The sequence below is a fragment of the Homo sapiens genome, chromosome 12 (genome assembly GCF_000001405.40).
Source record: "Homo sapiens chromosome 12, GRCh38.p14 Primary Assembly".
NCBI classification, from domain to species: domain Eukaryota; kingdom Metazoa; phylum Chordata; class Mammalia; order Primates; family Hominidae; genus Homo; species Homo sapiens.
Window position 1 is genome coordinate 10,698,712 of NC_000012.12, and position 27,312 is coordinate 10,726,023.

General features: G+C 39.1%; 2 protein-coding genes across 7 annotated transcripts, besides 3 other annotated features; one reads left to right on the forward strand and one right to left on the reverse strand.

The window, feature by feature from the left end:
* Positions 1-377: 377 nt before the first annotated feature.
* YBX3 (Y-box binding protein 3) lies at positions 378-24,612 on the reverse strand. 6 transcript variants are annotated; one of them, XM_017020122.3, is made up of 10 exons: positions 24,139-24,612; positions 20,369-20,432; positions 19,377-19,410; positions 16,983-17,072; positions 14,500-14,622; positions 11,197-11,403; positions 5,349-5,437; positions 3,249-3,423; positions 2,543-2,642; positions 378-943 (listed from the first exon to the last, which is right to left on the reverse strand). In XM_017020122.3, the coding sequence occupies exons 1-9, from the start codon at positions 24,398-24,400 to the stop codon at positions 2,577-2,579; spliced, it is 1,110 nt and encodes a 369-aa protein (XP_016875611.1). In that variant the 5' UTR covers positions 24,401-24,612; the 3' UTR covers positions 378-943; positions 2,543-2,576. The 6 variants fall into 6 exon arrangements, with proteins under 6 accessions (XP_016875611.1, NP_003642.3, XP_016875612.1 ...); NM_003651.5 differs by having other exon boundaries at positions 5,340-5,437; XM_017020123.3 differs by lacking the exon at positions 11,197-11,403.
* Positions 23,858-24,257: a silencer, noted in NCBI's record as "silent region_4238". NCBI's record gives its function as "represses an Ori minimal core promoter by ATAC-STARR-seq in GM12878 lymphoblastoid cells {active_cell/tissue: GM12878}" and the evidence as "EXISTENCE:reporter gene assay evidence [ECO:0000049][PMID:35858748]".
* On the forward strand, positions 24,341-26,607 carry LOC124902876 (uncharacterized). Its single transcript, XM_047429946.1, has 2 exons — positions 24,341-24,949; positions 26,326-26,607. The coding sequence occupies exons 1-2, from the start codon at positions 24,399-24,401 to the stop codon at positions 26,393-26,395; spliced, it is 621 nt and encodes a 206-aa protein (XP_047285902.1). The 5' UTR covers positions 24,341-24,398; the 3' UTR covers positions 26,396-26,607.
* Positions 24,388-24,487: a silencer, noted in NCBI's record as "silent region_4239". NCBI's record gives its function as "represses an Ori minimal core promoter by ATAC-STARR-seq in GM12878 lymphoblastoid cells {active_cell/tissue: GM12878}" and the evidence as "EXISTENCE:reporter gene assay evidence [ECO:0000049][PMID:35858748]".
* Positions 24,508-24,727: a silencer, noted in NCBI's record as "silent region_4240". NCBI's record gives its function as "represses an Ori minimal core promoter by ATAC-STARR-seq in GM12878 lymphoblastoid cells {active_cell/tissue: GM12878}" and the evidence as "EXISTENCE:reporter gene assay evidence [ECO:0000049][PMID:35858748]".
* Positions 26,608-27,312: the final 705 nt, after the last annotated feature.

The following is a 27,312-nucleotide window of genomic DNA, read 5'->3' on the forward strand; positions in this document are numbered from 1 at the left end:
GTATACCTACAACACAGCAGTTACTGGTAAAAACCTCAGGCTGGAAGTTGAAGGATGTTAGAACTATTAACTCCTTCGTTAATCTAAAGGTCATCACGTCACCTCACTGAATGAAGATTACTCAAAAAGAGACAGTACCAAATAATTCATGCCTACTACTGAACTCAGACATGAACTTGTCAATTTCCAGCTGTACATTTCAACAGGAATCCAATTTTTTATCATCTCAAGCTTATATGCCTAAATTTGTGAAACAGCATTAACTTAACTTTACATTTGGCTTTGAATTTACTATTAATCAAGTCAAGTAAATCAAGTGGTGGAGAAGACAAACACACGCTAAGGTCGGCAAAAATACACTCCCATTAAACATTCTGTCCTCTGAAGGGTAAAAATTTTATTTTTGAGGAATTTCTTACTGCACATTTTCAAAGAGAGTCACATAAGAAAGCAAAAATGTTATCCTCCCCTCATCCTAGAAATAAATAAGAAGGACATAAATTTTTTTTTTTTTTAAATCATGACACTTGGAGGTTTAGCACCAGCATCCAAAATGAACAAAAACGGAAAAAAAAGCATTTACTATATATTTCAGATTTCTTTGGTTGGGGTTCTCCCCATGTGGTATTAATATTTCTTGTTTCAATATATATATTACCAAAACAGTAAAAACCAGGAAAAAAAATAGAAACCTAGCGGTTGCTGAAACTGGAGAGGCTACTCTCTTGTCTTCCGTGCAGGAATTCCCAGGTTCTCAGCTTGCTGGAAAAATTTGTTGACATTTTCTTTTTGTAGTTGTTTCTTAAAGAATAACAGTAAACATTCCAATGTCCAAATCTTGGTTAGTCTTCCACTTTATTGCTTGGATGTTTCTTTGGTGTTGGTTAAGGTTGTGGCCTGCTTTTTGCTTTATTTCTGAATGGTCATTAATTCTTTAGGTCACCTGGGAAAAATTAAAATCAAACTTATAAAGAGTGACAAAGTAACCATGAGTTAAAGAATAAAAAGGCAGAAATTATATGCTTTTCATATAATTAGAAAAAGAGTACTTCAAATGCTCTAAATACAATCACATCTTGTATAGATCTGTAAGCTATATGTTAATTAAATGGAAACTCTCACTTTTTAATAAAGTATTTTTATAAACCAGAAAAGTCAGTACATAAGAGCAAAAATTTTATAAAATTGTATAAAAGAAAATTACCATTACTAATGAACAATACTCAAAATCATTTTAGTGGCTGCACCCTATCTCCTAATATGAATATATCACAATTAGCTATTTACCAAATGTCAGACAGACTGTAAATTGTAAAAATATTTTTTCCCAATATTTAAAATTATTTCCTTAGAAACAATACCTAGAAATAATGTTACGCCATAAAAGGGTATGGCCATTTTTATATTATTAATATGTTACTCTGAATCAGCTAATTCCAAGTTTGAATAGGGAACTTATTTCTGTGACAAACTGTCCATGCTACCCAAGATAAAACAGAATATTGTCCTCAAAGTGAATGCTTACCTAATTAATGGCTGATTAAAATCCCACATCACTGGATATAAAAGCAGATGGCCTTAAGACACAAGAACTTATAATAATCCCAAAACTTCATTGATGAAATTTTAACAATTTTTGAAAAATAGCATTGACACTGAGTTTACAACCTCTCTCTTAACTAAAAGCTAATGGAAAGGGTGATAACCAAGAAGTATAAGAACTAAAGTCTCAGTTAAAAGGGTTATAGGTTAAAAAAAAACAAACCCAGAATTTATAATTGAGTTGATCTTTCTGGCTATAATTCTATGTAAATAAAATGTCCAAGACCTTTAAAAGACAGAAAAAAGTAGAAAATGACAAGAAAATAACAAGCTATCCTTTTACGAGAGGTTATTCTTTACCATACCCTATTGTAAACACTCCCTGTTATTTCACTTAATAATCCTTGCAACGACCCTAGTAAATATAATTAGTATCCTAATTTTTACCAGTAGCAGATAGTACTGAGACAGAGGATAAACTGCTCAAGATCACCCAGCAAATGAGAGGTACAGTAGAGCCTGCAATGGGTAGATAAACCTTGGCTCTTATACACTATGCTGCACCGCCTCAAAATAAATAAAGTTGATTATCAAAGAAAAAGGGAAGGAAAAAAAATCCTTTAGTTTATTCTACTGTTTCTGATTACTAAACAGGTTCTGAAACTGTTTCTGATTACTAAAACCAGGCCTTTGTTAGGGACTTTTAGCATCAGTTTTCCTAAGTGGTACTAGTAGTTAAAAAACTGCCTGTCTAGAAAAAAGAAGTTGAGTATCATCAACTCTGTCTGAATGCTTATACCCTCACCAAAGCTTATCAAAATGAGGTCAATCCCAGAAATATTTAACCACCAAATCACTTTTTCCACAGAGTCCCAATAGAGACAAGGGGTTGGCACAGATGAACTGCAGAACTAGTTTAGACTAATTTGTACTCTTGTTGAGAAACCAGTGATACTAAAAAGAAAATACCAACTCAAGACTGGGCTGCCCCAGCTCTTACCTGCCGATGGTGAAGGTGCCTGAGGAGCCTGGTGTTACTCAGCACTGCTCTGCTGGGTGGGTGGAGCAGGGTTCTCAGTTGGTGCTTCACCTGCCTTGGCCTAAAATGCAAAACAAAGCCATAAATCAGATAAAGTCAGATGACAGTGGAAAGTTCAAGACTGAAAGTTCTTAAAAGTTTGAATTTTCCTGTGAAGGAAAATTAGCATGCAAAAATTTAACTACTCTTAAGTATGAGTCACAAATTAGTACCATATTCAGTCCCTGGCATCTCTACCAAAACAAAACGAAACCAAAACCTCACAAAAACAAAAAACAAAACAAAACAAAATTAGTACCATATAAGAACAGCTTACAAAACGGCAACTAAATACCACTACTCTCCATAAAGTCTGATATACAACTGCTTTCAACTCATGCTTAGAGGCAGCTTCCTCTTGATAAATGCCTCTCTTCTTTGAAGAACCCCAAATGTTTTAGCTCTGAATCCCCATTAATATGGGTCATTCTTTCAGAGAATGTTAACTGGATTCAAATATGTGGTCTGTGTTATGTACAAGGCATACCCTATATATATGGATCTTGAGCAAAATGTTTTTATATTTGTTAAGTGTCAGGTTTCATGTGATAAAACCACTTTTAGAATGCTAAAGTCTGACATGATTAAAGACTATCTGGCAACATCCGCCCTGACTGGTTGGATTTACCTCTTTGCCATCTTGTGAAGGAGCGTTAGGAGGACGCGGGCGACGCCGGTAATTGTAGGGACGCCGGTATCCACGGCGAACAGACGGCTGGTTTGGACCACTGGTGGCTTGCTGATTTTCTTTATCTTCAGCCTCTCCAACTGCTGGGGCAGGTCGTGGGCGAGGAGGTCCCCTGCTGTAGGGAACACAGAAGAAAATAGAACAGGTGCCAACAGGACAGGGCTTCTCCAGAAAATAAGGTTTTATTTATTTTTAAAAATTAAAAAGTCAAGTGATCAGGGCCAGGCATGATGGCTCACCCCTGTAATCCCAGCACTTCAGGAGGCTGAGGCAGGCGGATCACTTGAGGTCAGGAGTTTGAGACCAGCCTGGCCAACATGGTGAAACTCCATCTCTACTAAAAATACAAAAATTAGCCGGGCGTGGTGGCACATGCCTGTAATCCCAGCTACCTGGGAGGCTGAGGCATAAGAATTGCTTGAATCCATGAGGCAGAGGTTGCAGCAACCCGAGATTGGCACACTCCAGCCTGGGTGACAGAGGGAGACTCCATCTCAAAATTAAAAAAAAAAAAAAGTCAAGTGATGAGTACTTATTGCTAGAATTATTCGCAGGTCAATGCAACAAATGGAATAGAGGTTTCACGAAAAAAAAATCTTAATTTTCCATCATTTTCCCCTTTCATTTGAATACATATTTGTAAGGAACATACATATACTGAACACATACTCTGTTCCTATCAGGCCCTTTGATAAGCACTAAGAATAGGAAAATTAAAAAAGAAAAGAAGAGTAGTCTGGTATCTGCCTTCCATGAACAGAATTTAGCAGAGACTAAGGGAATTAAACATGAGAAGAAACATTATTATGTGCCAGAGCCTGTGCTAGTCGGTTTTAAAATTAAATATTTAATTTGAATGGTAATTCTGTGGATGAGATTTATAACAAGAAAACCAAGAGGTTTACATGATAAAGTATACGGCTGAGCTATATAAAAGTGCTGCTTTTATAGGTTAAAAAAGGTCAAATATGACTTTCCAAGATCACATATCCAGGGACTGACAAAGCTGAGCCTCACACGCTACTGAATCCTTTTTGTTCCAGTAAGACATTTCTATGCCGTCTCTTTTATTTTCAAAGTCCCTAGTACTTAATCATTAGTGATTATGCCTAAAGCTGGAGGGAACCTTGTGAAGAAAAAGGATACGATCCTTTTACAATTATATTGGTGGAATCCTTTCCCAATATAATATACTTTTTATCCTTCAATAAAGCCATACTGACAAATTTCAAGGTAGCATAAACATCATTCAGGAAGAAGTTGTAGCTTTTCCACTTACCACAAAGGGTAAGATAAAAGAATGGGCAGGCTTATATTATAAAATGCTTCAAAGGGATCTTATGGAAGGAGTCTAGCCTAATTCAGTCTTCCAAAGGAATAAAGCACAAATAGAATAACCCAGCGTTCACTAATATTAACCTCAATGGTGGTAATAATATCTAATACATAGTGAGGCCTTTACTTTATCAGGTACCACACTAATTATCTTAGCTGCATTAGTACCTTTAATCCCCAACTATAGAATATCTCTTTGTTTTCAGACAGGGTCTCACTCTGTTGCGCAGGCTGGAATGCAGTCCAAGAACATACATCTAATGAACTGTAGAGTAGGAAGATAAATTCAGGCGATTTGATCATACCCTGATTTAACCCCTCTACTGGACTGCCTCAGTGATTAACAGTCACTATCCCAAATATCCTCTGACACTCAATTCTTCCTCCATCTGCAGCATTACCACAGAATTGCCCACCAATAATTTATCTGATTTATTTTGATAAAAATTAAGTATTAATTTACATCTTATTATAATTCCAGAATACAAAATGACGCTTTGGCGCAGAGATAACTAAAAATTCTAGTATTAAGTAGGTGGGAAATGTCACACCACCACCTGAAAACTCTGGCATGTAGTCAAAGCATTCACATCTTCTAGATATATAATAAATCCACAAAACGGAACCACACAGTCCTCATTCTACCATTGTGCACACAAGTCCTTTAACTGGCCATTAGTGGAAAATGCGACATACCTACGGTACCTTGGGCGGTAAGTTGGATTTCGATGAACCGGTCCCTGAAGTTGTGCTCCCTCTGGGACTCCATCCTTCATCTCTCCAATCTCACCAGCCTGGAGAGGCAATGAGAGCTGACAGTGAGTGTCACAGCACAGGGGATAAGATACAGTGCATACAGCTATGTTCAGAATTTTTTTTAGAAGTAAAAAACAAAATGCTTCATTACAAAATTAGGCACTCTCAGTTGCAACACAAACTATTTATGAGTAAATCTTCGTGAACGACTGAAAAGGAAGACAAACCTAGTCTGACTAGAATACTCATTTGCTTAGTCCCAGAGCACCTAACTTTATTTTCGCCTATCAATTTAACATTTTGAAATCGGATACATTTCATTCATCTCTTTAAATAAAATACTCTTTTATTTTTCTTTACAACAAACTTACTTTAAGCCAGTGGAATAAAATTAACTTATTGTACAACTTCCAGGGGAAAGAAAGAACAACTTAAAAAAACAAAAAAACCCACCAACAATGTCTGCAATTCTTGACCATACAGCCATAACTCAACTTTCTTTTCTTTTCTCAAAACATCCCTTCCTCCCCCTAAGAGCCAAATACTGTCCTTCATTATTTCATCAAGAAAGAGAAACAGTCAGAAGACAATTTCCACGTTCTCATTAGCAAATCTACCCAGCTCCCTGTATTTACATTAGAATTTTCTTCTCTCCCATTACCCTGGGTAAGTGGTCCAAGTTCATATCTGAAACCAACAGCCTCTCTATTCTCATCAACTAGACACAGCATGTTAACGCTATCCCTTCACTATGTTTTCACCTTTTCTATCATTTCCATCCAAGCATATATACCCAGTGAAATAGCACCCATCCTTTTCAATTTTTTAAAATTTTGAAATAAGCACAAAGTTACAGAAAAGTTAAATGTAATTCTCAGATCCCATTCAAGTTTCACCATTTATCCCAATGATGCCCTTTATAGCAAAAACACCGTTTAGAATTATGCACTAAAGTAAGTTATATCTTTTTGTTTGGAGCAGTTTTTTTTAATTTATTTATTTGAGATGGAGTCTCACTCTGTCGCCAGGCTGGAGTGCAGTGGCGCGATCTCAGCTCACTGCAACCTCTGCCTCCCTGGTTCAAGCGATTCTCCTGCCTCAGCCTCGCAAGTAGCTGGGACTACAGGCATGTGCCACCACTCCCAGCTAATGTTTTGTATTTTTAGTACAGACGGGGTTTCATCATGTTGGCCAGGATGGTCTCAATCTCTTGACCTCGTGATCTACCCACCTCAGACTTCCAAAGTGCTGGGATTACAGGCATGAGCCACCACGTTGGTTTTCATGACCCTGATACTTCTTTAAAGATTACAAACCAGTTATTTTGTAAAATATCCCTCAACTTGGGTTATTGGTGTTCACTAATGATTAGATATTGTTTTTGCATCCCCAGGGGGATGTCACAAAAGTGACACTGCATTCTCCTCACTGCATCCTGTCAGGTGGCATATAGTTTCAATTTGTGCCATTACTGATAATGTTCACTTTGATAAGTGGTTAAGGTGGTATCTGCCACCAGAGTCCTCCACTGTAAGTTGACTCTTTCCTTCTTTGTAATTAATGAGTACTTTGTGAGGAAGTACTTACAAAGTGCATAAATATACTATTCGTTATCAAATTTTTCAATATATTGGTTTATTTATTTATATTTGTATGGACTCATGGTTTTCTATTTTTTTCAATGAGTTGTAATCTGTTACTATCATTACTGGCCAATGGGAACCCCTTCAAGCTGGCTCATATCCTATTGATGTGTTTCCAACATTCTTTGAGTACTTCTTCGCTTTCTGGCACAACAAGATGTTCCAGGCTCATATTATACTTTCTCTGTCCCAGCTCTGAAATCAGCCATTTCTCCAAAGGGAATTCTTTTTGTTTGAGAATGTTATTTAAAAACAAAAAATTGGGGGACAGGTATGCTCAATGCTGTTACTAAGATATCACGGCTTTCAGGACCTTTCAGTAGACAGAACCATGGAACACACACACACAATGTTACACATATATGTGTGTCTATGTATGTGTGTATATATATATGTGGGTTTATGGCAAACACACGTGCCTACCTTGATCTGCCCATTTAATGGCTTTAGAAGTTGTTGGTGAGGTAACGGGTAAGGGAGAGACCAGGGGTAACTCTGCATTGTAAAAAGCAAATCAAATCAAGCAAAAATCTTGCTCTGATCCCTTATCTTCTTCCAGCTACTACCCCATTTCTTTACAGACATACATACTAAAGAAAAACCAAACACCATGACCACCACTACAGAAACCTCAATGGGGAATATGTCTCCTCTTCCCGCCCTTTGCTGTTTCTTAAGTTCATTCTATTTAAACTTTTGTCTTCACCAAACCACTGACCTCCAAGTTACCAAATCTAATAATCAATTCTCAGCTTAATCTCTACTTATCAACAAGCATTTAACACATTTCTTTCTTGAAATACATTCTCCTTGGCTGCTCCTTCTCACTGTCCTTTGCTAGACAATCCTCATCTTCCTAATCTTTAATCGTTGGTGTGTCCCAGAACTTGATCCTAGGACCCTATTTCCACCTACACTCACTTTATAGTTAATATCATCCTGCCCCTACGGCTTTAAACATCCTGTTTTATAACTCCAAATCAGCCAGGAGCGGTGGCTCACGCCTGTAATCCCAGCACTTTGGGAGGCCAAGGCAGGTGGATCACAAAGTCAGGAGATTGAGACCATCCTGGCTAACACAGTGAAACCTCGTTTCTACTAAAAATACAAAAAATTAGCCAGGCGTGGTGGCGGGTGCCTGTAGTCCCAGCTACTCAGGAGGCTGAGGCAGGAGAATGGCATGAACCCAGGAGATGGAGCTTGCAGTGAGCCGAGATCGTGTCACTGCACTCCAGCCTGGGTGACAGAGTGAGACTCCATCTCAAAAAATAAATAAATAAATAAATAAATAAATAATTCCAAATAATTATTTGCAGTTCCATTTCTCCCCTTCAGACTCCCATTCACGCCTTTCCTGGGACCTGATGGACTTGATCCCTTGCTCCATTTAGGTCTCTTCTCAAATACAACTTAATGAACTCCCAAAAATGTTGTCAACCACTGTATCTAAGACTACACCTTCCATCCTCCAGCCACTTTCTACCTCTTCCCTCTGCTTTATTTCTTCTGCCTACTTAACACCTCCACTTGTACGTGAATTTAATATGAGAAAAAGACCTCCAAAGAATTTTCACCTTTCCCTCCAAACCCAATCTTTCTTCAGTATTCCCGTATTTGTTTAAATCAAAACTGCAGAGGTATTATTTACTCCTCATACAATATATTACCATTCCTCATACTCTTCACTCAATCCATCATGAAATGCCAACACCTCTATATGCTTAAAACATTTTCCAAATCTAACCATTTAATCAGACCTTCCACTGCCAGCTTCTCTAATACAACCCATGTTCATTTCTCTACTGAAAAGATTATAGCAGCTGTTCTCCCTGCTTTTATACTCTTACCTCCTGTGGTCTAGTCCCAACAAAACAGTCCAATAATCTCTTCAATGTTTCTTTTCTGTTGAGATCCCTTTACTGGCTTCTCATCACATTTACAGTAGGTCAAGTCTTTACAGTGGTCTACCAGCATGTCTGACCTCCCCTGAGATCTCACCTCATACCCTCTCCCCCTTCATTCACATCATCCCCATCACATGAGCCTCTCTTTAGTTTCCTAAGTAAGCTCGGCCATTTCTTCCTCAGAAACTGTTGAGTCACAAAAAAAGACTGACAGAAACAGCAATTAACGTGTATAAAGGATGAGAGTCTGCCAGAAAGACTGGATGACAAGAACAAAATGAATTAAAATTAAGTTCTACCACTTCTTGTCCATGTAAAATAAAAGTTGCTGATTTTTAAAAGTAATCAAATTCCTTCATTTGTGACAACAACAAAAAATATGGAAACCACTGCTTCCCTCAGGCTCTAGAGACAACTAAAGTAAGAACCGATTCCAAATATCTGTCACCTGGTAGATGCCACAATGTTGCTCCCTTCCCTCCATCATATAATTATTTTCTCAAAGACAACAAGCACATAGTAGCTCAGTGAATGATTCTACTTAATTTTCAAATCTATAGAACTATTTTCTTTAAAAATGGAAGTTATTCAGTCACTAATAAATCATGCTATATTATGTCCTTAGTGCATAAGGCAAATACCACTGGCCTATATATTCCTATTTTTTTTTTCTATTATGCCCAATAAATTTCATAGCGTTGTAATAGTAGAAAACGTTGGCGAAGACTTTTATATTTGATCTCAATAATTTTTACTATCCTAGAGATCCATCTATATATTTTTAAGAGAACACACTGACAACCTTGAAGTAGCTTAGTTATATGGATGAGAGCTTTAGGAATTTTCTTTTGATGCTCTTGACTGGCTTAACCAGACTACTTAGTCAGAGAGCTAGTAGATATTATAAAGATTATTAAAAAATATGGTTTAAAGGATCAAGACAACTTTTACTTCTGACATGGAATAGGTAGGAAAGTCAGCCATTCAGTCAATTAACTAAATGCAGTTAAGTTACAGGAATAAGCGTACATGTTCAAAAGCAGCTTTCGATCAGCTTCTGCATATGATGTTTTACGTGGCACTAAGGAACGACTTTGCTCTGAAACTTCAATTCCTAAGGTGAAATACATTTTATTTCAAAAGATATGAAAAAGAATCATCATGCTTTCAGCAAACGTGATATATGTTGTATAAGCCAAACACTAAGGAGGAGTATTTCAGGAAAGCACTATTAAGACGCTAAAAATAAGTGCATATTACAATCTCACTGACTTTTCCTGTCCTTGTTTCCTAGAAGCCCAGAGTGCTGCCCTAAAGCTACTATGTCTCATGTACCCAATCTCTCCATATATGTAAGTCTACTTGTTATTTTTAGCACATTTGTCAGGGGCAGCTGTTGAAGAGTAGAAGGAAAAAAACAAGAAAGAACACAGTCATGCATGATGGGACAGGAGAAGGGTAGCAAAGAACAGACTGAACATAATGTTCGGTCAAAACATCTAGCGGTGAGGGGAAAAAAAAGAAACCCCAACGACACTGAGGAGAAAAAAGTTGTGGCTACTGATAACAAAAATGATGATCTATCCCTAGTTTTCCAAGTTCCCTAGGAACTGCAAAATTGATGTAAGGTTTATTAAGCACAAAACAAACTCAAAACAGCTGTACTAATATTCTGCAGTGAAAAAGGAGAATCAATAATCAACAACCTCCATTCTGGTAGGTTGCCTTTAAAAATCAGCACTGTCTCATTTAAAACCAATACTTTAAAAATGTTATTTATGCTGCAGGCATCTCTTTTGCTAAATCCTTTATATTTAATCATCATAACCCTATGGTGCAGGCATTTAATGCCCCCACTTAATGGATGAACTTAATCTAAAACTTGGTTTTCTCAAAACCTCACAAATAAGTAGCAGAAACAGGATTCAAATCCAGCCTGACTTCAGAGTCCAAGCTCTTACACATTCCACCTGTCTTGTTACCTTAATTCTTTTGTTCTTCTATCAACTAGAAACTTTGGCCATAAGGGTTCCCTATTATAGGCATGGATCACGTGGTTTTGCTTTTAGAAGTGTTACCGGAATGACTGCTTTGAAAAAACAGACTGAAGGCCTTGCCTCAGCTTTTGTAGCATCAGGAAGCCATAAGCAAGGTTTCTGGCAGCTGATGTTGGAGGAGGAGGAGGAAGAGGAGGCAGAGAAGGACGGAAGGGTGAGGATTGCTGAAGAGAAGTCTCAGTTGCAATTTTACCTGTATTCTGTTGGGATGGGGTAAGACCCGTGAGCGACGGTCAAAGGTCTGTCCCACGTGGTAAGGCGGGAACCGCCGCTGCCGGTACTGAGGGCGATACTGGGGGCGGCGCAGCTGATTCCGGGCCCCAGAGAACTGCCTATCAGTGGCAGGGGGGTCAAATCCTTCACTGCTGCCGCTCCCTTCCTCCTCCTCCTCCCCAGCGTACTAGCGAAGCAAAGAAACAGAGATTCAGAAGAAGTTTTAGCAAGGAAAGAACCAAAGAACACCATTTAGGATGAATATCACCAAAATAAAATCTCCCCAAAGCAATATAATCCTTTCCATTATACAGACAAAATGCATTTAACCCAGATTATCATGTGATTGCCTGGGATAAACTACATTAAGATTAGAGTAGATCTGTGCAGATAAAATACCAAGAAGCAGAAAAGCAAGAGCAATCAATCTACAATCAATTTAATAGTCATCTCATTAGAACTCGTATCAGCTAACCAACCACCCGAAGAGTATCTGCAAGGTTTATAATTTTTGCTCCATCAAATGCGTGTCTCCCAGCATTTACCATCCACTGAGGCAATGTCAGGGAAAAGCCAAAAAAGAATACATTTTATGATGTTACCAACATATTTGACCCAAGTGGTATTCTTCCTACAAGTCTGTAAAGTGTGGATGGGATTTCTGAAAACTTCCAGGGGGTCAGCGAGGTCAAACTATTGCCATAATATTACTAAGATGCTATTTGCCTTTCCCAGGCATTCTCTCAGAAGTATATGGTGGGGTCTCCCAAAGGCTACAATGACATGTGGTCTCTCAGCAGACTGAATGCAGAAACAGATGTGAGAATCCAGCTATCTTCTATTAAACCATACATCAGAGATCTGCAAAAGTATAAAGCAATACCACTCTTTTCAATTTAAATATTTTTTTTCCATAAAAACTGTTATTTTCATGAACATATAGTTATTTTTAATCAATTAACATTTTAAGTTTATTTTACTTTCTAATATAATATTAATATAAATAAACATTGACAAAAACTCTAGAATCCTCAATAACATGTAAGCATATAAACAGATCCCAAAATCAGGAAGTTTGAGAACCACTGACCTAAGGCATGACTCCCTTTATATGTTTAGGAGTAAAGCTTTAATCATACTTTGATGGTAGTAAGCCCTAATCCTGGAGGTTTCTAAATAATAGATCTTATTAATATTCACAAAGGAATTTACCGATTCATTTTATATTTTTCTTCTATTTAAATTATATCATATACTACCATTTTACATTTTAAAAAACCAAACATCCTACAAAGACTGTGATTTCAAGTCTTACTTTAAAGGGGATATGCAAATGTCTTTAATGGGAAGTAACTAGTTTTTAAAAATGAATAAATAAAAAAAGCAAAATAATGACCCATTACTTTTTTTTACAGGAGTGTATTTAAGCTTTGGACCCTTCCAGAACAAGTCCACATGTGCAACCAAACTCCCCCTCCAAAAAAGCCTCAACTAGTCTAACTTCAAAAAAAATCAAGTCATTCTACTCTTCATAAAACCTCTACCAAAGATGAGATTCACAATTATGTAAACGTTTATTTGCACAGAAAATGCTTACCAAAATATTAAGTGTGAGACAACATAAACTGTTTTTCTTCTTGGGCTTATCTTCCTCTTTTGCATTTCACACAATCAAATCTTTAAGAGTTTTACAAAGCATAATAATGGCACCAGCAATGCTGAACACACTCTTTTGAGAGATACTGAACAAGTTGTTGGGACTTAGATATTACAACAAAAAAGCTCATTTATGTATACTTTAAGAGTTTTAACAATTTTGTTTCTTAAGCGTTTTAACAATTTTGTTTCTAAATATCTTTTATATGCATGACTTTGGAATTTTCAGGTTTTGGACAGGAAAAGTCTTTAAGAAAAATTTTTCACTGAATGTTTTTCTACCACTTTTGCTTTTGAATTAACCTGGGAGTCAAAATAATCACAGTTAGCGCTCTGTGACTCTGATGAACTTCAAAGAGAACATGATGTAGGAAATGCTACAGCAGCTCATTCCTAGCTATCCCCCTCATAGCTTATTAAAAACCAAATAAGATAAGCAAAAACAAAGAAACAAGTGGGAAGTCCTAAGGAATCTGACAGAATTAATTTGGGCAGGATGTGATGATGGCAGAATAAGGAGGAAAAGCATTTAGGTAAACAGAAAGATATAAAGCTATCAAAACATAAAGATAGGTCATTCTCAATCTGCAGATATTTAATTCTGATGAGTTTTTCTTTGGATGAGACAGGCAGTCACAATCCTGTGCTGACAAACATTCGGAGTTTTCTTCAATGTGCCAATACCTGGTTCTAATTCTAGAAACACCAAGAATGATTCAAATCTAGTAAGTTTCTCATGACCACAAATATACTGGGTCCGTTTTGGGTGCCTTGAGAATACTCCTATAAACTGAGCCTCCCAAGAAAGCTCCAGCCAGATTTGTGACAAACTCTTTCCCCTGCATTGAAACCAACCTAAAGAACTAAAAATCCACAGAATCACTTATTGCTTCTTTACTTTGAAATAATGGAAAAATGCTATGCTAAATAAAACAGCCTCTTAACCAAGGCAAATTCGTTAATAGTTCTGTGGCCTGTACTTTTATTGCCTGTTCACAAGTTATTTCTCACTCTTTCACCAACCAAATTTTGATTTTCTTAGAGGTCAACAGTGTCGGCACCAAAGAATGAACAACAAGGTTAAGTCAATGATGGAAATCCATTCCCCTTTGCCAGTGAATGTCTGTGACTAGGTTCTGGCCAGAAAAAAGAGCCAAATGAAGAGAAACCTTGTTAAAAAAAACCTCAGCACTGTCTCCCTTAAGTCTTCCTGTTAAAAGATAATTAAATGTCTATTACTTGTAGCCAAATATATCCTAACTGATACAACTTCTGAATGGCAAGTGTCTAATGAGACCAGCGGCTCTGGAAAAGTTCTGAGCGCTAAAATTTCCCCTTAAGAGTACCGTGTATACTGCTCCAGTGATGGGTGCACCAAAATCTCAGAAATCACCACTAAAGAACTTATTCATGTAACTAATCACCACCGGTTTCCCAAAAACCTATGGAAATCAATAATACACATTTTAAAAAATAAGATAAAAATTTCCTCTAAAGAAAAAATAAAAATCACTTAAATCATTTGTCTCCAGGAGAAGACAAGGCATTTATCTGCTCCAAGTACATACACTTAATTCCATGCATGAACAATTTCTCAATCACTGGTTAAGTAACAGAGACAACGTACATTCCGGGGAGGGCCACGGCGCCTTCCATAGTAGCCACGTCTGTAACGGCGCCGATCTGCAGCGTAACGACTCCCTTCCACAGGAACTCCATCCGGGCCAGTCACATTGGCAGCTTCTGCACCCTGAGAAGAAAATAAAAAGATGGCCTCAAAATTAAAAAGAATATACACTAACTCAAAAAACAGCCTTGGACTGCTAGAGTATAAGACTGGCAGAACATACTAAGAATTCCCACTGTGATTTTAAAAACAGATCTAGGTTTTAAACAAAGTGAGCAAGGTACTTCACATCCTGATTTAAACATATATGGCTTGTTTGCTCATACAACCTGAGTTTTGCTTTCTTGTCTAGTAATGTCAATCGCAAAAGCAATGTGTAACCTCTTTAAAGAACATAAATTAGCAAATATACAACTGTCAAAGTAGAAGCAATGCTAGACCAGGAAGAATATTCCTCAATGGGAAAGACTTGAGATACTGTTATTTTCCTAGAATGTGTTGAAACCTATGTTAGTCTAGGAGGTACCAAGAGGACAATCCCTATTCATGGGCTCATATGATTCTCTGTCCAGCACAAAGGTACTGAGTGAAACTTCTCCTATTTTGGCAGCAACAAGAAGAAAGGGTCTTTGATGAATAATATTCTCCACACATGTAGTCCTTCTTTAGCCTTTCCTATTATCCTTGAAACAGATTTAGAATTCTTATTCTCATATGGACAAATGGAAAATGTTTCAAAAATGTTAAAAAAATGTAGACCAAGAAGATTTCAGAGAGTGTATTTCACACCCTACATCACTTTGTAAAACCCTGAGTTCTGAAAACATACAGAAGAAAAATCAACCCAAAACAATTTTTTAAAAATTGGATGGGATATCAGAGATCCTCACAGAGTGGCAGGTGCTGGTGAGTGATTTGAAAATCTAAAAGACTTACAAGATACCCTGGGGATCACACCGGTAAAGATAATCACTTAAATTTCTGCATCCAATGAAATAAATTGTTTTTCTTTTAAAACACAATGGTTTGAGAGCCATTAGGAACATGACCTATGGAATGGTATATGTGTATATGGGAGGAGCACATACAGGGAGTTAACCTCTCATCCAGTTAATTTATAATTCAGCTGCCATGATTAGCTGCCATGGCAGTTGTGCTATATGTAGTTTTAGCGTGTTTTTAATCTTACTCAATATTGTTTTACTAGTATCTATAACAGACTAAACACAAAGCATAAAGGGCATTACAGACACGGAATTAAATATATAACAGTATTAAAAACTTCTGTAGCTAGTCTTCAGGAAAATCCCTTAACTTCTTGGATTCAGTTCACCCGGACGAAGCTATCTTAGGGTCTATCAGGGTACCTTCAGCTTCCCAAAATCCAAGCCAAACAGAAAACAAAATGATTAATATTCAATTTCGATCTCCTTTTATTGGGATTAAAATATTCTTTACCATGTATTATTTGTAGGTAGAAGTGCTTACAAGTCAGCCTGAAAACTTTACTTTGATAAAAGAAATCTTTTGCCCCAAAGCAGTTTTTCTTTTCTTTTTTTTTTTTTAAAAAACGGAATCTTGCTCTGTCCCCCAGGCTGGAGTGCAATGTCTCAGTTCACTGCAAACTCCACCTCCCAGGTTCAAACGATTCTCCTGCCTCAGCCTCCTGAGTAGCCGGAATTACAGGAGTGCGACCACACTCAGATATTTTTGTAATTTTAGTAGAGACGGGTTTCACCATGTTGGCCAGGCTGGTCTTGAACTCCTGACCTCAGGAGATCCGCCTGCCTCAGCCTCCCAAAGTACTGGGATTACAGGTGTGGGCCACCACGCCCAGCTGCAAAGCACTTTTAATATATTGTTAATACATAAGATAGTTAAATTTTAATCTGCATTTCGAAATACATACCTTTGGTATAAAAATATAAATTATTTTTAAATTGAGAAATCAGCTTTTCTTTCCATAATCAGAGTTGATCATTTATTAAATAAGAAATTAAAGTATCTTTATTGCAGAATGTTTATAATGACAATGTCAAAAATATTTCTGCTAGCTGGGTGTGGTGGCTCACACCTGTAATCCCAGTACTTTGGGAGGCTGACACAGGTGGATCACCTAAGGTCAGGAGTTTCAAGACCAGCCTGGCCAACATGGTGAAACCCCGTCTCTACTAAAAATACAAAAATTAGCCGGGCGTGGTGGTGGATGCCTGTAATCCCAGCTATTAGGGAGACTGAGGCAGAGGAATCACTTGAACCTGGATGGTGGAAGTTGCAGTGAACCAAGATCGCGCCACTGCACTCCAGCCTGGGCAAGAGGGAGACCCCATCTTAAAAAAAAAAAAAATTCTGTTTAAAAGTCACTTCCTGCTATTGTACAAAAATTCCAAAGTCATGTCAATTCATAAGGGGCTGATAGATAATTTATTGTGCAACAGTACTATGTGCCAGCACTTTGATACCCAACCACAATTTCCTCTCACCTTCTCTCCTTCAACCACATCAAACTCTACAGTTTCTCCATCTCCTACACTGCGCAGATATTTCCGTGGGTTATTCTTCTTGATGGCAGTCTGGAAAGAGAACAGAAAATTTTATTCGATGTATATTTCAATATTGGCCACAGATTTCACTGCTTTCAAGTACACCAGAGTGAACTTGAAGAAACTGTTGACCGATTCTTATTTTTCCACCATTCTCCCACTAAGTTGGATCTCCAACACAACAACAAGAAAGCACTATAAAACTATATTCCACATTACTTCCTTGATTTGTGCTATTCATCTTGACAGGTGGATTAAACAGAACATGTTTTTTCTATAACTGCAGTGTGTGCAGTGACTACACACTACTGTTACAGGCTGATCACCTGATCATATCAGATGTATTAATTACCTCAAACCATTAAGCTTCAGAGATTCTCTGAATCTCCGGAGGAGGAAAGGAGGCAGTGATAAAGAAAAACAAATTAAAATGCCAAGGGGATAAATATTTCTGACGAGTAAACAAAATTATCTCAAGAATCAGAACGTATTAGTAATAATCTGGCCTCCCCCCTCTCCTCCCATTTTGCAGATGAGTTAACACGAGGCTAACAGTTAAAGTGATTTATCTGAAGTCACAACCGTAACAGCCCCAGGGATGATGGGGGAAGTGGAGGAGGGGGAATTCATATCCCTGTACTCTACCTATATGATATTTATTCAACTTTTCTCCCATCACACAATTCATGTCAACAAATCCTACATTCCCTGATAATACATTAAAAGGTTAGTGAAGATGCTATTCTTCATTAAACATCTACACCTAAATATCTGCTTATGAATAGGTGCTGCTCTCTCTTGTTCCATCAATGAAGGCAGAAAATAATTCCTGCCATGCATTTCCATTTCTTTGGCTGGTATCTCTAAACAGTTAAAGGGGCTTGCGTTTCTATGGAACTAGGTCAACCTTATTTTATAAAGCGATTAAGCATGTGTAATCCAGCCCGTCCCCTAACTCTGAGTAGGAGGGAAAAGAAATAGTGAGCCAACAGAGCAGAGACCTCACCCATAGAGGAAAAAAGGCAGTTCAGGACAGGCACGCAGCATGAACATTCAGCCATTCCAAAAACAGCCCCTCCCTGCCGGCTCGCTCCCTTTTTCCTGTTAAACTGGGCAAGCCTCAACACATTGAGGTGACTCACCACACAACCTCACGGGGGCTGGAATCGGGTCATATACTCACAGGCTAATAAAGCCAGCCACCAATACAGCAACTTCTGAGGACCTTGACTCTAGCAGTCTTCAGAATTCTTACCCTAAAAGGTCTATTAACCTCAAACCTCCAAGTATTATAAACAACACTATTATGACCCTAAAAGTCACTGTATCTGAACAAAATAAATCTACTCAAATTATCTAAATGCAACTGAGATATATCCAGTCAAGTAGAAATATAAACAATAGAAACCACAGCTAGATACCACTATCTCCAACTCCTACGGTCACTCCAATACACACACAAACCTAAACAGAAGGAAACAAAAACACAGAAAATCAGATGTATTCTGGATTTCTGCACTGCAAGAGAATGGGCTGGCATTAGTACCTGCTGCTCTATCTTCCTTATTGTTATACTCTGAGAACGCATATTTCAGACAATTCACTGAAAACTAAATAAACAAAAAGAACACTAAGGATAGTATTCCTTCTCTTAACCTATTTTATAAAGGAAGTCTAGGACATATTAATAACAGAATAAATAACATCCTAGGCTAATAAAGCAAAGAAAAACTGAGGCACCTATAGCAGAGAAGCTCCATATCTTACCCATTTCCTCTATTTCCTGCAAATCTAAGGGAATTTGCAGCTTTTGACCTGGACACGTCCTAACATGCCTCATTTAACAAGAGTGAGGGCTACCCTGGGAACTGGAAGTTTTCTCATCTTACTATCTGCTTCTCTGCGCTATTTACTTCAATTGAGAGCTGCTCTGACAGAGGAGCTTTAACCAATACCTACCCAGGCAGAAGCCAGATTGGCTCCAGGCAAACACTAAGGAGGAACCACATCAGGAGAACAGGATGCTAAAAGGGAAACAGACTTTTCTTTTTTTTGCTAAGGACTCAAAGGCTTTAAAAATTAGAAAGTGGTCTAACCAAATATCACTTTATACAACTGCAAAAATAAAACTATTTGAAAACAGTTAATATGATGGGGTAGAAGAACTTATTTGCCAATCTTAAAATGTGGAACTGAACTCCTGTTGCAAAATAAATCACAGAAAGAGTTTAGATTAAAATAATAATCCATAGGACTTACTTTTGGGAAAGGGCTGACAGAAGATTACACACCCTCTCCTCACATAGCAAATGTAGTATTTATAATCCCTCTTACCTGATGTACAAATACATCTTCTTTGGTGTCATTTCTGTTGAAAGACAAAAAGCTCACAATTAAAGGTAGTACGTATGTGGAAAAACTTAAAAGAACCTATGTGTTATGAATTTAACTCCCAAGTCCTCAAAACACAACATATATTTTCACTTATTTTCTACACTCAATTCAGACACCTAAAATCCTTGTTAAACATTTCTAACTCCACAGGCCACCCACCTTCCTCCTCCACATTGCCACAGTGCTTAGATCCAAGCTCACAGACTCAACATACAGAAACATCCCGTTCCTCTGTCTCTTTCTGAATCACATGGTGTGTAATCAGAGCCTCAGATTTTCCTCCCAGCAAAAGCAAAGCAAGACAGTTAAAAGGACAGGGCACAGCTGTGAACTAGGCTCTCCTTACACTGAAACTTAAAACAGCCCCCCACCCCCACCCCACCAAAGGAGACAAGAAATTGGAGGACTTTAAGAAGGGGTGGGAAAGCAAAGAAAATGCCGATATCATGTGAAAACCTCATAATACTCCCAGCATCTTGTAGTTATGTTCTCATTCCTGTACGGTTAAAAGTTACCACAGTTTACAGTTTCTACATAGGACTGGACCAGAAGTGAGTTAAAGATCCAGCTCAATGACTCACTAGTTGGGTGACCTTAGGAAAGCTGCTTAACCAGTGTAAGACTCCGTTTCTCCATCTGTGAAATTATGGATATGGTCTCATTTATCCTAAGGCCCTTCCCATTTCTGATTTTATCTCCCCCTCCTTTTCTTCCTTAATGACTAGATTTTATGAAATAAGTTATTTATTAGTGTCCTGGAAATGTATTTTAAGTAATATTTAACAACCAGTAGCTTAGAAATGAGAATATTTACAGTGCTTAGAAACCTAAAAAATTTATATAAGCCATTAATGAAGGCTAAGGGATTTATAACTCCTGGTGCCACAATGTAAGTATAAACTTAAAACATGCAAATATACACACACACATACCGATTTATAAATCCATATCCATTTCTGACGTTGAACCATTTGACAGTGCCAAGGACTTTGGTGGCTAAAATAGGATTAAGCAGATAAATTAGTATCTGACCTACAGAGAGATATAGCTCATATCACTAAGATCTTGATAACATTAGACAAAGCCTAAACATACCTAAAGAAACCATTAAAAGCTTAATTCCAAAATACTTTAGAAAAAGAAAATGGAGCAAGCCAAGATCTCATAAGGAAATACTTTTCAGAAGACTAAACCTTTCTTCCTTATTCAACTTTTCAGGAAACTCGCAAGATAAGGAGTGGTTATAAGTCTATACAATTCTGTAATCATTAAAATTGAGAAACACTGAAGGAAAAAAAGAATGTTCAAGATGAATGTTCCAAGTTTTAACCTAGACAAATTTTATAAGTTCAAAATAGGAGCTACAATAAAAGAGTGAAAGACCTTAACACATCACTTTCATACTTGGAAATATTAGGCAAACTTTAATGAGAAACAAGGTGGCTCCTTGTTAACAGGCAATCTACAAAGACGTAAAGCAACTTGTCCAGTCGCCAAGTGGGAGCTCATCAGAGGAGTCAAGAATAATTATAGAACTGCTGCTGTCTCAATCCAGTTCTGTACTTACCACTCTGAGACGTGATATAACAGGTCTTTTCAAATCACATGATGAATTTGGGCTTGTTTCTTTGTTTACCTTGCTCTCTACAGTTTTGCGAATCAAACTTAAGCATTTTTCCATAAAATCCCCCTCTTTACCATAATGGTTGTCTCTACCTCATGAGCAGGACCACTTCTCTACAATGCCTGATTTTAGCAGAATTGAGAGAAGGAATCTAAACAAAATAAAACTTCATGTAACTTGTATTTTGTAGGTTTATATTTATCTCAACTATTTCAAATATGATCTTTGGAATCAATTATGAATGACAAATTCAGTACTTCTAGGAAATGCCCCTGTCTCAATTCAGGAAGTGCAAAAAGCAATTATAAAGACTCAATGAAACAGGAAACCTGATAATAGATTACCTTAAAGAAAAAATAAAGAAAAAAGCCTCAGTAGAGAATGAAAGTAATTATTAACATCAATCCATACTGTCTTTTCATAAGATACAAAGTTTATAATTTCCAAGGATAAACAATAAGGCTTCACTTTTAAATTCAAAACTAAAATAGTAATTAAGACTTGCTCTGTTGTAGGCAGGGGTAGTTCTGAAGTTTGCTAGACTGATACACTTGGGAAAATACTTTAGCTCTCTTTGTTGGGGGAAAGAAAATCCAAAACAAAAAAAACATGTCTTTATATCTCCAAAGTTATGCAGTCTACACTGATGAGGCATTCTCCAGCTTTAATTCCAAAGATCTCTCATCTCTCCAAAGGAGAGATCAAACCCAGGCCATCTTACGTTTGAGGCCACTCTGATTGGAGCAGCAAGGCAAAGGAGAAAAAAACAGTTGATGTTTTCGATGCAAATGTACACAGTAGAGGCCTGTTTTTGATACATTATATGCATTTAAGTCAGGCAATATTCCAAATAATATGCGTTTAGTGCCTCTTTTCATTTGCCCAAAAAATTAATTACCTGGGAAAATATAAAGACTGGAACTGTTTTTAATATCTAGCATTGTTGAAGGAATAATCTTGATTAAAATGACAATACTAATAATAAAGGAAAAAGATGATAAATAATTCTCAGGTCTAACCTCAATCCAAGCTGAAGGTTATTTTTACTCTCCAATGTAGTTTAAAAAAGTTTCGTAATTCCGCAAATACTTCTCCAAGGACTTCTTATGATCAAATTCATTCCCACGTCTTGCTTTAAACCATAAACCCACTTCATATACACTAAGGGGAAGGGTTGGGGAGGAAGACCATAGATTTCCATAACATTTATCAGAAGGAAAATTTTTTTGCACTCATGAAAACTATTTTTCCTGGCCTATGTGCTTATAAACTCAAGTGAAGGCCCATTTGCAAATACTAGAACATATCCATTTTAGTCAGCATTGTGCCTAGTACATCTTAGGCATCTATGTGTTTGCTTGGCAAAGGAAAGGGGATGGCAGGACACACTAGACAGAGACAAACAGTGTTGAGGTGTCACGTAGAAAGGGCTGTCCTTCATTTTTAGAGAGACGCAGTAAGAGTGGAAAGATAAAAGGCATCAGACTCATCACCAGGGATCTGCAGAGGCAGTTGCTTGAGGAAATTAACCTTCATTTATCTGTTTCCTTCATCTTTAAAGATAGTATCTGCTTTCCCAATCTCAGAACAGTACAGGATTAAGTGAAAAACCGCAAAAGCTTTCTACAAAATAAGGTATCATTAACAATGTTATCCTAACACTGCTTTGGAGAACACAAGGTTTTCTCTCTCAGACATCTGGCAGAAAGTGTTCCAAGAAATATTTGCTAGAAACAACATCACAATGTACTACTGACTAGATTTAAGCAACTTTTAGTCCAGCAAAATCAGGCCTATTTTGTTTCTTAACCTACACAGGTTACAATTAGCATGTTGTTTGGTAGGGACTTAGTAAAAGCCCTAGAAAAAAAAAACAAGAAAATAGTCCTCTCAAGGTGGGGAATATTGAATACACTTCTCTCACATTGCTCCCTCAACTTTCTTCCCAAAGGGGAAGTAGGGCTCAGAGAGATGAGACAAACATGCCCCACCCCAAATAGTGAAGAGGTCTCCGAAGCATCCTACACCATCTGTTAACGTTCCTGTTTATAAGAGCGAACGATATGGACACACACCCTTTAGGGAGGTTATTCACCACCCACCTGCTTTGCAAGCGTTTAAGAACTCACACAGGGGCGTTACTTACGAAAAGAACGCTTGTTATGTGACTAAACCAACAACCATCACAGAAACCCTTTCCATCCACTGCCCCCCCAAATCTCAACATTTCATCTTCCTGTTTCCCTTCCTACGTTACAAGTGCCAAGGTAACAATGTTTTGAACTAACGTCATACCCCCACTTCCGACAAAGTTTTTTCAGCTGCTACACCACGTGCGTTCCCACAGTCCGGGAAGAGGGAAGCGTGTAGCCATTGGTGGACACTGAATGGCTGTTTGCAGCCGTGGGCACAGAGAGGGGGAGGAAGACGTGGGACTAAGACCCAAGTTTCCCGGAGACGATTGCAACATCTCTTTGCTGGCATGTGGCCAACAGGAGCATGGCGTCTTTCCCATGCCCATGTGGGAAGGGCGTCAGGGACAGACACCTGACCCTTCCTGGCAAGAAGCTTTTCTATCTTTCCCTCCCCGTCTCCTTCTAGCGCCCTCCTCTTCCCCAAAGGAAATGCTCTCCTTTCCCAGATCCCAAGCAAGGACCCCAAAGCGCCAGGCCCACGTGTCGGTCCTTCCCCTACATCCATCCCTACCCAAGGTCCCCTCTCCCAGACTGCCTCTCCTTTCTTCTCCAAACGCAGGCATTTTCCACCACGCGAATCCGCAACAGTGCCCGTCTGGGAGACAGAAGTTAAGACCTAAACTTTCTGGCCCGGAACCAGAAGGGAGATGCACACGGCCGCCAGGAGCGCAGGGCGCAGCGCGCTCACCTGGGAGCGCCGGCAAGGGAGGCGGCCAGCGCTGGGGACCCGGAGACCCCTGGGGACCCGGAGATCCCTGGGGACCCTGTGCTGTCAGCGTCTCCAGCCCGGGTGGGAGATGTAGCGCGAGCTGCCCACACGTGCTCCGCGGCCGGCTGGGCCCGCCCCACTACGGCAGCCCCTGCCCTCCCTGGCCTGACTCACCGAGAACTTTTTTCTCCGCGTCTTCGCTGCCGGCGGCGGTGGCTAAAGAGGCGGCGGCCGCGGTGCCCGTGGCTGCGGGGGCCGCGTCCCCACCGGGGTTTCCTGCGACGTGGGCGGCGGGCGCCGGGGCCGCGGCCTGGGGCGCACCGCTGCCCACCGGGCTCTTGGGCGCGGGGTCCTGGGGAGCCGCGGCGGCCGCCTCCGTCGGAGCCTGCGGGAGGGTGGTGGTGGTGGTGGTGGTGGCCTCGCCCGCCTCACTCATGCCTCCTCCTCCTCTGCTCTCGCTCAGGCGCCTCGGTGGCGGTTGGTCGGCGGTTAGCGCGGCTGGTGGTCGCGGCGGCCGGGGCTCGCTCTCGGGGAGGCCGGGGCGGATCTCGCGGCGCAGGCGGCGGCGGCCGAGGTGGGGTCGCGCGGCGGAGGCGGCTCGAGCTTCGTGCTGCGCGCTCTCTCTTGGGCTCCTCGCTCGATCTTACTGCCCCAAAAATGGCCCCGCACAAGTTTTTCTAGGCGGCGCACCGGCCCGGGAGGGAAGGGCGGGCGAGGGGAGAGGGTGGGGAAACTTGGCTCGGGAGTCGGGCCCTGGACTCTCATTAGCATTTAAAGGCGCCCGGTGCGCTTTCTATGGCTCCAATCCGCCGGGACGCGAGCGCGCGGGTCGCGTTGCAGAACCAAGGAAAGCCAGGGTGAACGGGGCGCCCGGGTTGTCTTCTGGAGCGTTCCGAGGAGCCCGCGCTGCTGACCCTTTGTTGGAGCGGGGTGCATTGGCTCTCCTCCCTCAACCCGTCTTGACACCCGCAGCTGACAAGGAGAGGTAAAATAGGGCACCCAAACTACTCTGCGCTTTACCCTCTCAAACACTTGTTTTTAAATCCTTTGCATCTAGTCAGTCATTCAACATGTATCAAGCACCAGCAGCTATTCGTAGCACAGCTGTTAAGACCTGGAATAATAAAACCTTAAGACTATTTGGCAACTTACTCCTGAAAGGTAATATACGGATAATTTCATCTGTAACACGCAGATGAGGAAATTGACCTCACAGATTTAATGTAAATTCAGAGTTTACACCAATTTAACCGCAACAAATAAGGAGCTGTCAATATATATTTAATAAGGAACACACACAAAAAAAGCTGAATAAATCCACTTCCTACCTTCTGCTCCAGTTGCCTCTGCCAGCTGGTGAAAGCTTAAGGAACTGAGCCCTCTTAGCCTCGAGGATGAGAGGTATAGAGAAACAGATCACCCAATAAACATTATTCCCAAGTTGAAGAGCCCACATGCCCTTTGAGAATGGGCTGGATGGTAGTAAACACAGGGCCAGAGGGTCTGGGATCTGTACCCAAAGACTGTCTGGAATACAGGACTATTTGGCCCCTAGGGTTCAGACAGACTAGGTATAAATTCTGGCTTTGTTTTTTATTAACCAGGTTAACTTGGGACAGAGATTCAATGTCCCAGAGTCGGTTTCCTGCTTTATGAGAGGTTCTCAAAGGTGACATGAAAAGTAGATGAGATTATCATGTGTCACTCCAGTGTCCGGTCCACCTAAAGCTCCTTTGTTTTGTTTGTTTTTTAAGTTATTGCCTGTTCCCTCAAACAATTTACCAAATTTTTTTCCAGGAATATGTCTGTAATGTCGATGTCTACCTTAACATCAGTAGGGTAACTATCAAGTGTAATTCATCTTTGTATCTCCACTGGTTAGTACAGTACGTAGCACAGAGTTTGGACATAGTGAATGTTTACAAAATGAAAACAGACCAAATTCTTCCAAACTCAATTACTTATCTGCACATTTGCTATCAATTATTATGAAACTTTCCTGAATTCTTACTTTCTTATTTCATCCACAAAAAACACAAAGAAAATAAGTTATTTGAAAAAATAGCAAATTATGTAATTTTGAGCTTTTCTATGTAATTCATCAATATTTAAAAAATTACAAACTCTTAAATGTTAGATTCATATTTTAGTTTGACTTCAGTATGGAGCATACAGTGATGTTATATAAATGTAGATGCTTTTAAAATGCTGGTCTAATTCTAAGAATGATTAAATTATTTCTTCATGTGAAAGATTATGGTCTTAATTACAATTAAATTATAAACATGATTTATTCTGGTGAGGACTGACCATTGACTTTCTTATTCAGCAAAATGATTATCATTGCTATTTACCTTTCAGAATTACATTACAAGAAAAAAAAGTAAGGAGATTGAACTCTTCAAACCGATCCAACAGTAAAGCCTTTTAAAAAAATTCATCCTTGGAAGTAATTCATAACTAACAGGTGTGATCTCCAACCTCTGGAAGACCCTAAAATAATTACAGATGCACCCTGGGATTTCCTAGAATTTGTGCTGGACTGGCTTCCAAAACTACTCATCATTGTCATCCAAACAAAGCAGTGAGCAGCTGGAAGTTGTTGGTATTGTACTAAATAAATCTAAAGAAAATTAGAACAAATATGATCTATGTTTTAATAATCATAAGTAGGAAGCAACTTGGATACAGATACACATAAATTTATCCATTCCTTCATTCACTAATTCATACACTCATATTTGCTAAGCAAATGCTATGTCCCGGACAAAGTACACCATTGTGAGTATCCAATGTTGACCAAAATGGAGCCGGTTGTAAGGTCTTTTGATATGATGTTAAAATTATTTTTCACTATCAACATTTCTATTGTAAGACAATATCATCATTTACTAAGTTTAAGAGTAAGTCAACAAAGAATTATAATCTAATTGCTGACAGCAGTCATTTTTAAGCAATTATTGGTTTGATCATAAAAACAAATGCCACTCTGTTCCTAGTATGGAGGAAGTTAAAGCTCTCACAACTGTTGGAAGGGCTGAAGGAGGGAAACTCAGAGAAGCTCCACTGAAGATCTCAGCCTCCAGTCCCCAAGACAGTGGTTCTCAGGAGTTCTCCTGAAGCCACTGGAGCCACAAGATCTTTCGGAAGTTCTCAGCAATTCAGGGCTGGATTCAGGTTTTGTGATGCTTAAAACTAATACAATTTAGAGAGCCCTTTTTGAGATAAAATAAAGTTATGAATACTAAAATGCTAGGACTGCTCCCAGAGTCTTCGAAAGGGTCCGTGCAAGACAGGAGCCCTGAAATTTAAACTTCATTAGCTTTACTCCTGCACCTGCTATCTCAG

Excerpts from the sequence above, each read along its gene's own strand:
- LOC124902876 (XM_047429946.1), top strand. The coding sequence starts at position 24,399 with ATGCCTCCTCCTCCTCTGCTCTCGCTCAGGCGCCTCGGTGGCGGTTGG. Across the intron at positions 24,950-26,325 it reads CCCGCAGCTGACAAGGAGAG|AATTACATTACAAGAAAAAA; the intron begins GTAAAATAGGGC and ends TTTACCTTTCAG.
- YBX3 (NM_003651.5), bottom strand. The coding sequence starts at position 24,400 with ATGAGTGAGGCGGGCGAGGCCACCACCACCACCACCACCACCCTCCCG. Across the intron at positions 20,433-24,138 it reads CGCGGAGAAAAAAGTTCTCG|CCACCAAAGTCCTTGGCACT; the intron begins GTGAGTCAGGCC and ends ATCCTATTTTAG. Across the intron at positions 3,424-5,339 it reads TACCGCCCAAGGTACCGTAG|CAGGGGACCTCCTCGCCCAC; the intron begins GTATGTCGCATT and ends TGTTCCCTACAG.